This window comes from Homo sapiens, chromosome 11 (genome assembly GCF_000001405.40).
Source record: "Homo sapiens chromosome 11, GRCh38.p14 Primary Assembly".
Classification (NCBI taxonomy): domain Eukaryota; kingdom Metazoa; phylum Chordata; class Mammalia; order Primates; family Hominidae; genus Homo; species Homo sapiens.
The window spans coordinates 19421618-19435752 of record NC_000011.10 but is presented as its reverse complement, the minus strand read 5'-3'; the positions used below and the strand labels follow the sequence as shown (position 1 = coordinate 19435752).

At 43.3% G+C, this 14135-nt stretch overlaps 1 protein-coding gene across 11 annotated transcripts in view, besides 1 other annotated feature; it reads right to left on the bottom strand.

Moving 5' to 3' along the window:
• Positions 1-14135, bottom strand: part of NAV2 (neuron navigator 2) — a 776366-nt gene that overhangs the window by 685849 nt on the left and 76382 nt on the right. The window lies entirely within an intron of this gene.
• Positions 3165-3365: a silencer, noted in NCBI's record as "peak1231 fragment used in MPRA reporter construct". NCBI's record gives its function as "represses an SCP1 promoter by STARR-seq MPRAs in K562 erythroleukemia cells {active_cell/tissue: K562}" and the evidence as "EXISTENCE:reporter gene assay evidence [ECO:0000049][PMID:32103011]".

The following is a 14135-nucleotide window of genomic DNA, read 5'->3' as shown; positions in this document are numbered from 1 at the left end:
AAAAAGGCAAAGATGACAAGTGTTGGTGAGACTATGGAAGAAAGAGAACGCTTGTACACTGTTGGTGGTACTGTAAATCAGTATAGGCATTTTGGAAAACAGTATGGAGGTCCTTTGAAAAACTAAAAATAGAATTACCACATGACCCAGCAATCCACTTCTGGGTATATACTCAAAGGAATTGAAATCAATGTCAAAGAGATGTCTGCACTCCCACGTTCACTGTAGCAGTATTCACAATAGCCAAGATATGGAAACAATTGAAATGCCCATCAACAGATGAATAGAGTTTTTAAATGTGGTATGTATACACAATGGAATATTACTCATCCATTAAAAAAACAGAAACATCTGCCATTTGTGACAACATGGATGAACCTAGAGGACATTATGCCAAGTGAAATAAGCCAGGCACAGAGAGACAAATACGATATGGTCTCGCTTATATATGGAATCCAAAAAAGCCAGACTCATAGAAGAAAGAGTAAAATGGTGGTTACCAGAAGCTGGTGGTGGGGTGGGAAAGGTGGACAGGGAAAGGCAAGACATTGGTCGGAGGATATAGTTTCAGTTAGATAGGCATAGCATGGTGACTATAATTAATAATAATGTATTGTACATTTCAAAATAGTTTAAAAAGAGGATTTTAAATGTTTTCACCACAAAGAAATGATATATATTTGAGGTGACGAATATGCTAGTCTAATTTGATCATGCCACAATGTATATATGTACTGAAACATTATACCATACCCCGTAAATATATATAATTATTTATCAATTATAAAGGAAAGAAAAGATTTCAAAGAACTGGATATCAGTGTGAGAAGTTGAGACATATTTTGAGAAAATAAAGGCTGTTTTTATCTTTGCTGAAAAGAGCTTGGCAAAAAAAAAAAAAAAGCCACAACCTTTTGCTTCTTTCCTGTGCTTCTTTTGACCATAAAAATATGAGAGATTCACGTGACAATTGATATTTCCATGTATAATGTTAACGAACATCTTTGTGATATTTGAAGTCTCATTTATAACAAAGCCAAGGTGTTGACTCCACCTCCCAGTTCAGAGTAATTTGATTTTGCAAAAGAGGAAAATGCCTTAGGAGCTGTTAAAATACTTATTTTCTAAAGGAGCTAAAAAAGAAATGTGCCCCAAAGCTGGGGATAAATCACTGTGTATTCATTCTTGGTAGCTTCATGTCCAGTCTGGCTCTGGATTCCATGCTTCTGGTGGCAACTCAGCTCCTTTCTTCTTCTCAAGGATACACTGAAAAACTCCTCACTTCCTTTCTTGCTCTCCAACTTCTTCATTCTCCTTTTTCTAATTATCAATAATAAAACATTGGCCATTCTGACATATGAATTCTGCTTTTAAAAATGCTTCAGTTCTCCATCACCTAATCACACAGAAATGAACCCCAGTGCCACTTTCTCCCTCCAGGGACCAAGATGCCTTAATATCTTTAATATGTACCTCATCAGCCACTGAGCATCTACTGTGTGTAAAATCTGATGCCTTGGTCCAATTTCATGGATAAATTTGTAGTATCCATCTCTTGAGACACATGGAAAACCACATCTTCTGTTTCTTATAACAGACTGCTGGTGTTCACCAATATCCATGTTCTCCTCTTTTTTTTTTTTGGCTCATTTTCCACTCTCCTTTCATCCAACAGAGGCCATGTGATTTGTTTGCACCAATGGAGTGTGTGCAAAATAGTCATTACTTCCAAGCCTGGCACCTACACTTCCTGCATGATACTTCTTGCTCTCTCTTCCTTTGCCTATTGGCCAGATGCTGAAGTGTTAAGCCATTGCGATTTTGAGGCTCATCTCTTACAGCAGCCAGCATTATTTACTCTAATACATTTCTATTTTTTGAGACTTTTCTCTAATACAGATTTTATTTGTGCATATAATACTTTAAACATTCAATTGGATGTGAGATCTTTTGAAAAGCAATGATCTGCCTTTGAATTGGGGGAAATACAATTTGCCAACAGTGGTCACAACTGCAAGAAGTTAATATAAAGGCCCCAGTTAGCTTCAGGGGCCTAATCAGAGACTCCCCATGGAGCTAACATTCTTCAACAAGCAAGCCTGTTGCTGGCTCACAAAATGCTTGGTCCATACCACCGCCTTTCAGTTGAGCAGATGGGGGTTTTGATGTAAATTGTGCTGGCATTTGCTGCTCTGAAAATAGATTTGTTTTTGCCTCCTTCCAAATTCAGTCCTAAAAAGCAATAGTCAACAAGTTTCATTTCCTCCTTTTAGGCAGGTCAGCAGGACCAGATATCTGTTTGCTATTAAAAGGCACAAAATAAAGCCAAGGATCTCATGCTTGCGGGGCACCTTGGGCTTTACCTTGTTGGTGCCCCATCAAATGCAGAAATTTCCTCTAGAGAATTCCAGGTAGAGCATCCTGTTCTGCTTGCCCTCTTTGATGGGGAGCTCACCACTTAATGAAGTAACACATTCTAGTGTTAAAGAGTACTTCCAGTTAGAAAGCTGAAACTGACCTCCACAAACATTCCATTTTTCAGTCCTGTATCTGCCCTTTAGAGGCATCCTCTCAAAATATAGTGCCATCTCTACATATTGACCCTTCAGGCATTTGAAGACAGAATTGAAGTCTGAACTCTTATCTTTTCCTTGTCTCTGCCCCAAAGTCCTCTATACAGCATAACTCCCAGGACTCTTCCTCAGAACATACTCCAGCTTGTCAATGTCCAGTGAAAACTGAAGTGACAGGAGCTGGCCACAGTTTGAGCAATATGGAAAGGAATGGGGTTAACATCAGTGCCTTCAGGACACTGTGGTTCTGGGTGAGCTGGACTCTTGTGTTTGGGTTTGAGGCATTTTGAAAAGTAAGAATTGCCTCAGAGGACAGCAGCAGCTCTCCTCAGCTGCGGTAAGAGTTATTGGGGAGATTCAAATGAGGGTAAAGAACACAAGAACCTGGGCCTCACAGAAACCCTGGAATGGATTAGTACTGGAACATGCTTTGAAACCTGCAGGGAAATCTAGAATTCAGTGCAGTCTCCACTACAGGGACACCCTAGCTGTACCTTGGGGGCCCCAGCTCCTTCCTGGTTGACTTCTGCTGCTCTCCATACCACCCACTCCCCCACTGCCTCGCTCTCCATGCTCCATGTCTTCTCAGTGGCTGCTTCATCCTGGCTTTCACCTCCTCACTGTCCATGACGCCTTTTGGCTTCTGCCTGCCTTCTTGTGAGTGTGCCATTTGTGGTTTTTTTCCCAACATACTCTCTATGACTTAAATTCAACACTTCCACAGGGAGAGAATATGATCTTTTCCCTTAATCACCACCAACTCAGTCATGAAATGTTTTAGCTGCAGTTTGTCCTAGCAGCTGCTGATCAGCCTATGGGTTAGTTCAAATGCTCTCCCCTAATCAATAAACATCAATTAACAATGATGACAGGGGTGGGCCACAGGAGAGGAAAGTGGCAATTTCTACAGAAGGATTCTGGGTTTTCATCACATTCACAGAATGTGAATTCAAGCTTATCAATGCTTTTTTTTTTTTTTTTTGGTCGGAGTTTTGCTCTTGTTGCCCAGGCTGGAGTGCAGTGGTGCAATCTCAGCTCACTGCAACATCCACTTCCCGGGTTCAAGTGATTCTCTTGCCTCAGCTTCCCAAGTAGCTGGGATTACAGGCCTGTGCCACCACACACAGCTAATTTTTGTATTTTTAATACAGACAGGGTTTCATCCTGTTGGCCAGGCTGGTCTCGAACTCCTGACCTCAGGTGATCGGCCAGCCTTGGCCTCCCAAAGTGCTGGGATTACAGGCATGAGCCACCGCACCCAGTCTTATCAATACTTTCGACAACCAGATCACACTATGATGTATGTTGGAAAATGTGATGTGTGTTATGGCAAAATCCAAAAGCTGTGTTTTTCCTAGCTGCTGCTAAGCCAGCACTCTCTACCTTGCACCTATATGTGCAAATCTTGGCTTACTATATTTCATCTTGATAGACTCTACAGAAGGTCCCAGTCCTGCAAATTTGCTCTTAATCTAAATTCTATCTTCCGACACCAGGCATTTGTTTGTTTGTTTGTTACTCTCTGCTCTGTAAATTCCAAAGGTTCCTTACAGCCCTATCAGAACCACAAGGAGAGGAAGGAGACCAAGAAGGATGGGGTCAGCACCCAGCCCCAACCTCACTTTGGCCAGAAAAACTGTTCTAGTGCAACAGAATTCCAGGTAAGAGTTTCTTGGAACAATATTTTCTGAAACAGAAATAAAATTTGAAAACCATGGAGGCAGGGTCTTTTTGTGGCTTCTGTGCTCAGTGGTTGGTCTCATTTCTCAGCATAGCATGCTTGCCCACCCCCAGGACCTCCTCCTGCGGCACACTAAGATGGGTACACTGCAGTGCCCTGTCACACTTCCAGCTTCAGCAGTCGTTAAACGCAGCAAAGAACTAGAAGAATGACTGCTTACCTTCGCTTACCTTCTTGCTCCAGGAAGCAACAGCCTGCTGTGCCGATTCCCACTTCGGGCTTTAACCAGCAGCAACTCAGCACAGCTTGAAGGGATGCACTCTTTATCCCTGGTACCATCAGACCAGGGCTGAGGGACAGCAGTGGAAACTAGCTGTGGGCAGCTTCCAGGCAGGGATGAGATGCCCCTCCACCTGCCTGTCTATTTTGCCTTTAACAAAGCTAAAATAAGGCAGATTTACATTATAAAGGTTTAGCAGGCCATGAAGGGAGTTTTTTTCTATTGTGTCTGAATCTTGGCTAAAGCCTCAGGCTAAAGATAATTGGTGGCAAGTAGCCCATGTTCTAGAGGGCTGCTTGACACACTTGCAGCACTTACTGGAAGATGGCAAAGCTAGCCTGGAAACACCCTCCCTGGGTAAGAGGCTGTGTCAGAGGAGGCTGGAGCTTCTCTGAGGAGCGGACCTTTCCACGGACATCTGTAGATGAATTGGAGGGGACAAAGAAAAGTGATGCTCTCTACCCTCAACTGTCAACTGATCCACACGGCAGGGGAGACTGGCATCATATCTTCTTAACTGGATGTGTGCAGAGCTCCAGAAACTTGCAAAAACAACTCCCTGGTGTTAGTGAAGCAGGCCAAAGTGAGAAAGTTCTTGAGAACTTGCTCTGTCTCCAGGTGTTTGAAAGTGTGTGTAAAATAAACATTGCTGCCCATGAGCTGAAGCTGCCGTGATAGCCAGGTGAGGGGATGGCGTCAGCAGCTAGGCTTGCTGCTCACTCCCCTCCTCGCAGGGCAAGGGTGCACTGTACTTATGGGACAGGGAATGCCAGTGAGGGTCGCTGGGTTTGAACTGTCTCAAGAGGACCCAGCCTGAGGAGGCTATGCGAGAGGGGACTGAAGAAGGGGAGAAGACACCAAACGGGTCAGCTTTAGGGGCAGAGACCACATGCCGAGGCTCTCAGAAAGCCTGCCACATACTCCATGGAAGAGCTGACTCTAGGAAACTGCCCCAGCAAAGGTGATTGGATGGCCAAGCGAAAAGTGCAAAGAGCATCAGCTGCATGAAGAGGCCTCTGCCCCATTCCTTCCTTCCCTTGCTCTGCCCTAGGGAGCCAGAACTGAGAGGGGTGGGGGTAAGGGGACAGGTGGGTAAGAAGTGGAACTGAAGAGTGAAAGGACAGCCAGGGTCTCCTCATGCCCACCATTGCTCCCTGAACTCTAGACCAGGTTTGAGCTGATGAGAGGGATAAAGTTTGTAAACTGAATGTGAAATTGAAGTTTCCATTTATATTGGGCTAGACTTTCTAATTACTCAAGATGAGGCTGCTGCCACTTTTTTTCTAATAGCTAAAAGGGACTGGAAATGATGTTTCTCCAAGTGACAGGGAAGTGAGTTTGGAGGCCCTGGTGGGAAAAGACAATGTGTTTTCCTGATGAAATCCTGCTGACTTCAGGCCACTCAGCAAACTGGTTGCACGGTCTCAGGACTTAATCTTCCCAAACCTTAGATTCTTCATCATCTGTCAAATGGAGAGCAAAATGCCCACCTCCTAGAAGTGTTTTGAGAACTAAAATGAAAATGTTATGTCAATCTTTAAAGTGTCCAGCACTTGGGAGTGCCCAGCCAACAGTGCTCCCTTCTTCCTCTATTTGCCATCACTGAGCAGAGGCCCCTCCCTGCAACCTTAAACCAACAGACTTGAAGAACAGCAGAGATGAAGAGACTGTGGAGAGATGTGGTCTAACTTCCTCCTATTAGAGAAGATGAAACTGAGGTTCAGAGAGACTGGAGTCCTACTGCCGAAGGTCACTCACTGGGTAACTGGCAGAATCAACATTGAGACCAAAATCTCCTGACCCCCAGGCCAGTCTTTTTTCTTCTATGAAGTGTATGGACACTCCCGTAATAGCCCAGTGAGGCTTTATTGATTGGTTAACTGAAAAGTGACTGGAGACCTTTAGACTTGGTCCTGGCCCCCTTGGCCGTGCCAAGAAGTGCCCAGTAAATAAATGCATTGGCACAAGTTTTCAATTCACAGAGTACCAGCCCTGCTCCAGGAACTATGATTAGAGCTGGATACACACCTGGAAACCACCACCTCTGGACTCACTGAGCTCCCAATCTGGCAAGAGAAGCAGAAGACTCTGAGTGCACCTGGGGGATTCTAGAAAGGCTTCACAGAGGGCTTAATCAGCTTGTGCAATCGGGTAGAAAAGGATGGAGGTCCATTTAGGGTCTTCCCCATTCCCCTTCTCCCCAGGTGACCTCTCTGTTTTAGAGGTACCCAGTTTTGAATTCCTTGGCTGTGTAGTGGAGCTAGCAGGAAGGCGTTTCTAACCTTACCTTTGCCTCCAAGTACATTATCATAATGCACACACGTCAAGGTTCTTAGGCAACAGCTTTCCTGATATGGATGAAGAAAGAATCACATGGGAAAGAAGTTTCCCACAATCAGCTTGTACACCTCTGCTCATTTCACAAGTTAACAGTCAGTCCTACTGATCAGCCCTTCTCTTCCCACCCTGATTCTCTGCTTAGAAATTTTTATGACAGGAAGATGACTAGGTGGCATAGAGGAAAGATGACTGCTAAGGTACTTCCCCAAAGAGAGCAAAACAAATAGAGCTCAAGGTTTAATTCCTGCTCAAGGTATTAAATTTCGCATTCAAGTATCACCATTGACCAGTGATCTCAAAAGACTTAGAAGGAAGAACACAAGCTGCATTTATCCTAACTCGGGTAATCCAAATCTGAATTCAGTGTAAGTAATAGCAGGGATAAGCACTTACCTCTTTGGATGCGAAACCAATTAAATGCAGCCAAGAAGGTACACTAGCTTGAATGCGTCAAGGAGCTAATTCTCAGTGAGGCCCCACATTAATTGGTTCAGCCCCACTTTGCAGCTGGCAAAATTTCCAGTGTCTCTCAAAGCCCAGTACTGAGATAAGCCACTAGGCTACCCCTTCCAAGCCACAGACACTGACAGACAAAGGGCAGAGGCTTTTAAACAAATTGGGAAATGGTATGCGTGTATGTGTGTTTTAAATTCGTTGCCAATATTAAAAATTGGGATATTTAACAACAGCAACAAAAAAAACCCTGACTTCTGGGTTTTCTTAAAAACATGAAAGATCTCAAAGATTTAAACGTATTTGTAAAACCCATTATAATAGCAGAAGAAATCATTGGAGAATCCTTTTACAACCTCAGGGTAAAGAAGTTCTTTCTAATTTGGACCCAGAATCCGGAAGTTCTAAAGGGAATGATTGATTTGGCTACATTAAAAAAAATACCCCAAACACAATCAAAAACACAAAAAACAAACTAGCGGGGGGATGCAGATTCAAACTCATATCAGAAAGGGATTAGCTCTCCAATATATAAAAAGTTTAAGAAATCAATAAGTACATGATCAACAACCCAATAAGAAACAACTGTAGGCAATGAACTGACAGATCACAGACAGTGAAATACAAGTGGCTTTTGAGTACGGAAGATATTCGGCTTCACTCATAATTTAAAAAATAAAAAGTAAAATCACATCAAAATGCCATTTTTCACATGTTAGAATGGTAAATACCCTAAATCTTCATAATACACTGTTGGCATGGCTGTGGGAGATTGCAATTCCGCCCCGCCTTGACCCCCATCCCAGAAATTAAAAACAACAACAACAACTATTTGTGCCACAGCCAGGAAGCCATTTGACTTCAAGTCATGTGTCCCAAAGGCTGGATTCCCTTGGGAGTTTTCTACCTGGATTCTGAAGATGAAAGTGAGAATTTTTTCTGGGTTCTATTTGACACTTAACATGCTGCCCTCCTATAACTAGGCAAAGGTTCAGGTTAAAAATAACAGGTGTCTCCTCAGTAATCCTAGCTGCATGTGCTCTTCTATTTCTTATTAAAAGAAAGAAAGGGAAGCAGAAGGAAGAAGGACCAGCACAATTGCAAGCCTGCTGTGCGCCAGGAGCTGCATAGAGCTTTATATGCATTATCTCATTTATAGCCCACGTCAAGTGTGAGAGTATTGCCATCCTCTTTCTGCAGGGGAGGAAAGAGACTCAGAGTAGCCACATGACTTGATTTCTTTGACAGATGTGTGCAGAGGGGACTGAACAAAGGAGCCACAGCTTGGGTTCCCTTGGAGGAAAAGCTTATTTTGATATGGGTCGTTTTTCATTGATTGAGTCAAAGGAAATCTGGAGGCTAAGAGTGTCCCGGTCAGCTGCTAAGAAGTCTCAGTCACACTGTAGCAGGGTGCCATGCCAGGGATTTAATTTGTGTTTTTCTTTAATACTCTTCTCCAGTGAGAGAGGTGCCAAGACCAGTCTTAAATGGATGCTCTGTGTGAAGCAAATAGCAGCACTGAACTCATCAAATGCCATTGCTCCCTCTGATGAGAGGAGAAAGTATGAAGATTCTTCACACTGCATAAATCATTAGGTTCCTGGGTAGTGTGGTAGGGCTGAGAGTCAGATAGGTCCTCAAGAGAGACATAAATTTTCCTGCCAAAACAGCAGTTGTGGGAGGAGTCAATAAATTGATGACAACCCCGCCCCCCAACTAAAAAAAAAAAATTGATGGGACTGTTTACTCTAAGCCTGAAAAGAGGTTCTCAATGGCTATGGCCTATTTGGTTTCCCTCTCCCTGAACCCCAAAACATATTCCTCTCTTGGCAAGTTTCCTATGAGAGACTAGGATTCCTGCTGACCAGTCCCTCCTTGTTAGTAGAACCACTGTGGGTAGATGTTGTTGTGCTTGGCAAGGGAATATCTTTGTAAATTAGGGACTAGAGCAAAAAGGCGAATATTTTTTTTCTGTAACCAAGGAGCATCCCTGGTTTATTTCTTCATGGAGTCCTTCAAGGAGTATCAGGTTGTGATGGCAGAAATTTTCAGAGAAGAGGGATGAGGAAGAAAGCCATTAAATGCCCTGGGGAAGCTGGATTCCTCTGGAGACTGCCAGCCGCACTTCCCCATCCTGGAAACTCCCTGGGACCCATCTGACCCCTTCTTTGGGGAAGAAACAACACTTTACATCTAGAGCTGTGAGGCAAGCTGGTTTCTTGAGACGCTAGGAGCACTGGAGAGGCCAGGCAGGAAGCTGTCAAATTTTGCTGAGACCCACATTCCCAGAATCTCTCCAATCCCAAACTCATGTCTCCTTTCACCACAACTCAGAATCACTGAGCTAGAGTTGTCCAAATGGTGCATTTCTCTGAAACAGCGCAACTTCAGGAAATATCCCATAATATCTTGCTAAATCAGAACTCTCAGTAACTCAAATACCATCTACTTCCCTCTTTCTCTGTGTCATTGAAACAAGGCAAAAGATAAGAAAACAATCTCACCTCAGGGCTTTGGATGATAACTTTTAGTAGATATATGGGTCTTGACATCAATAATAAAGAGCCTTGGGAATTGATGTTCAGAATTACAGGCCTGGGATCCTTTAACATCCTCAATAACCAAAAAGGGATTTAATATGAGTCTTATATTCTACCTATTCACGTGTGAAAAAGAGATCAGAACTAAGAAGGGTTAAAACCATAATGGTTTTCTGGATAATCCTCCATTATCCAGAATCATCCCTGTCCCCAAATTTAGTATTTAATGGAAGTTGCACTGAACCTTTCCATTGTATAATGTTTCTTGGCCACTATTCTGTGACATAATGGGGCAGGACCACGTAAAATAAACAGAGAATATGGTTCTAGTCCAGACTGTAACCACTGGCTACATGCCCCTCTAATTCTCTAGGTCTCAGTTCCCACGCATGTAAGACAAGCCAGTTGAATTAGTGCAGGCTGTCTCTGGATGGAATGAAAGAGAGACTAGCAGGGCACAGAGTACCTATCCAGCTGGAAGAAGGAAAAGGCATTCATGAAGAAGGGAAGAGCATGATCAATGTCCATGGTAAAGCATGTTTGTCATTGTCCTTGGATTTGGTGACTCTATCTACACTCTTCTTAGATATGGATTGGCTCTGCTCTTCTCCAAGAATAACATTTCTTTCCTTCTGCATGAGACTCAATTCTATTCATCCTTAAAGGTCCAGTTCAAAAGTCACTTTCTTAACCTTTTTCTATAAACAATCTCTTCACTGAACTATTCCAGCATTAATTTGCACCTCTATAATGAGCCTTGCCACTTTGCCTTATTATTCCATAATAGCCCGTAGTCTTATAAACACAAGGTTGTATTCCACAAATGTGTACTAAATAATGCTTAGTAAAATGCCTCAAGCATAGTATATGCCCAGGTTACCATAGAATGACTGACTGAATGGAAGAATAAATGAATTCCCATAATATCAACATATTATGGGGACATAGCAAAATTACTCCAATTTAACCTAAATACTTTAAATATTTTTATTTTTAAATTCTTGCTTAGATCTTCTTATAAAAACACCAAACTAAGGCCGGGCACGGTGGCTTATGCCTGTAATCCTAGCGCTTTGGGAGGCTGAGGTGGGCGGATCACTTGAGGTCAGGAGTTAGAAACCAGCCTGGCCAACATGGCGAAACCCTATCTCTGCTAAAAATACAAAAAAAAATAGCCAGACGTGTGGCAGGCACCTATAATCCCAGATACTCAGGAGGCTGAGGCAGGAGAATCACTTGAACCCAGGAGGTGGAGGTTGCAGTGAGCTGAGATTGCGCCACTGCATTCCAGCCTAGAAGACAGCAAGACTCCGTCTCGAAACAAACAAACAAACAAAAAAACACTGAACTAATCCTATTCCAAATTCTATGGCTTATTTGCTATAGATCCCTAATTTGACCGCTTCTTAGAATGTGGAGGAACCTTTAATTTCGACAGTCAAATCTTTGATGAATGCCACACATAGTGCTCTTCTCTTGGCCCTCAAAGAAATATCTCTGACAGCATTTCAGCCCAACCTTCTGGAAATATTTAATTCCTCTCTTACAGCCTCCCCATGCCTCTAGGAAGCAGCAAATAATACTTAGAGAACTAGTAATCTTTATTCAACACAAATAAAGGGGAAAACAATACCCATGGCTCCTTAAAGCTGTATATTAGCCACCGTGCAGAAAGTATCTCATTGATATTAATGTGCTTACAGCTTATTACACAAAAATTAATTAAAAATTGAATAAGGCCAGAGCTCAAAATTCCGCATATCTAATTTCCCTGCCAAAGCAGCTCATACAAAGAATAGCTAAAATTCTAAGAGCATTAGTTTATCACAGTGCAGCATACAACTCCATTTCAGTTCACTCCCTTTCAAAGGAAATGGGGACCCTGTGGTTTTCTGGGATCCTTCATTAACATGTCATCTTTGGGGAGTGGGCTTGGATCTAAAGAGATTTCATACTATTATTCTACGATTCTCAGCTCATGCCTCAGCTCCTAGAGAACTTCCTAGTTATTTCTCAATCACAGATGGCCCGTCCCAAGCAAAAAGGCTAAACCTGTCAGAAGTCTCCCCTGGCCCCAAATATCTCTACCAACTCATGGGTGACTCAGTGAGAAGAAACTCCTGACAGTCAGATCAATCTGATTTCTACCTCTCTGCTCCCTGAAGTAGCTGTGTAGAGTAAAAGATAATGAAACCCAGTTAGATAGACATTGGCAAGCCACTTTCAATCTCTGAGCCACTGTTTCCTCACATCGTACTTGCCTTAGAGGAATGTCAAGAGCTCAATGAAATAACATGTGTGTTGTACATGGTACAGAGTAGATGCTCAATAAATGCTCTCCCCACTTAAGATGCTAAGTTTCAGTCCAGCAGTTTGGAAGCTTCACTGCTTTCCCCATAACAGAATATTCTCAAGCCTCTTACCTCTGAACCCTACAGGACAGTAAATTTTTGAAGGTGAGAGCTTTTTGACCCATCTCTCTACTCCCAGCACCTCACACATGGCCTAGCACACGGTTCTTAGTCCATGACCATCTGTAGAATGAATGAATGAACAAAAATAGCCACCAGTGGTTGGGTGCTTACCAGTAGCACTTTACACATATTAGCTCATTTAATCTATACAACAGCTCTATAAGGTAGACACTGTCACTGTATAAAGGTTAAAGATACAAAAGCTCAAAGAGATTTGGTATGGCAGCTTTGCTGAAGCTACCAAAATAATGGATAAACCATATGAAGTTGCCTATATCCCATCTTTTAAAAAATACAAATGAGTATTTACTGTGTGTCAGGCACTGAGGTAAATATCCTGCATATATTATAATTTAAATATTATAACCTTGTGAAACAGTTGAAATCACAGATAGGAAAACTGAGGCTCACAAGGGTTAAGTAACTTGACCACAGTTTTTGACTCTTTTAGATTTACAACAATGGCCAAGAGAGAGGAAGTCTCATCCACCTGATATTAAAAGGAGAAGACAAGCTCACACTCAGGCCTGTCTGCCTCAAGCCCCTGATGTGCCACATGCCTCTTGAATCAATGGATCAATGAATGGCAGAAGGGGAGAGGGATGGAGAGAAAGAGCAGGCATAGGAAGAAAGAGTGATGGAGAGAACAGGAATGAAAGGGAAGACTTTCACAGGCACTGTAACTATCTGGGTAATTCCTACAAGGCCAGACGATTCCAATGTAATCTTCTGTGTAATTGTTGCCATGCAGAACAGGCTGGACTCCAGACCTAGCAGTTTCTGGCCAGTGCGCAGAACAACAGAGAGAGAGAGGCCTCTCCTGTATGCTCAGCCGCAGAAGGGCCTTATGGGCGGCTTCCTGTTGGGACAGGAATCAGGCTCTCCAGCTCCTACCCAACCCACAATCCTGTGCAGACCAGCCACGCTCTGCTGGGTTTGGCGTCACAGAGGCATTCCTTCCCTTTCTTTCAGCCCCTAATTGCTCTTCAGGGCCGTGGGGGTCTCCCTACTGGCTGGCAGCCTATGAGGCTGGCCAGACTGAACTCACTGTTCCATGGGATCACGCATGAAGGCCTCTTAAAAGCACTGGTTCTCTCACCATCAGCAGCTGGATCAGCCCAGCAGAGATGAGAGTAAACCACCACGTACCAAGGCGTGATTTCCACCCGCTCCCCGCCCCCCAGACTGGCACTGTGTCACTGGAACAAGGACTCACAGAGCAGCATGAGGGATGGCTCCTCAGAGAAAGAGCATGGGCTAGGAGCAGTGAGTCTTGAGTTGCAGGCCTGGATCTGCCTCTGTGTGTGACCTTATGCAAGTCCCCTCCTCTCTCTAGGGTAGGAGACTGACAGGCTCTTGGGCTTGAACATCTCTTCTAAGCCTTATAACAACCCCATGATGCAGGTATAAAGCTTTTCGTTACAGGTAAGAAACCTGTTGCTCAGAGACACTAGGTGACTTGTACAGTGTCACACAGCAAGAAAATGAGGAGTCAGGATGTGATTCCAGGCTGGCCTGGCTTTGAAGCCCTGTATTCTCACCACTGCCCCTCAGGGGCTCTGCTCCTTCATTTGTAATAAGGGTTAATGGTCATGGTCATTATCTTAACTTCTCATGCTTGGGCAAAAAAAAAAAAAAAAAAAAAAAGCCTCTCTCTTAAGGCACTTCATGGGCTCTCAAGTCATCAGTGTTAGGAATTAGAATCATTATGTTGTTTCTCCCACCATTTCCAGCCTCAGTTTTCCAAATTTCCACCTCCATGATTTTTGCCATATCCTCATATCACATATGCTA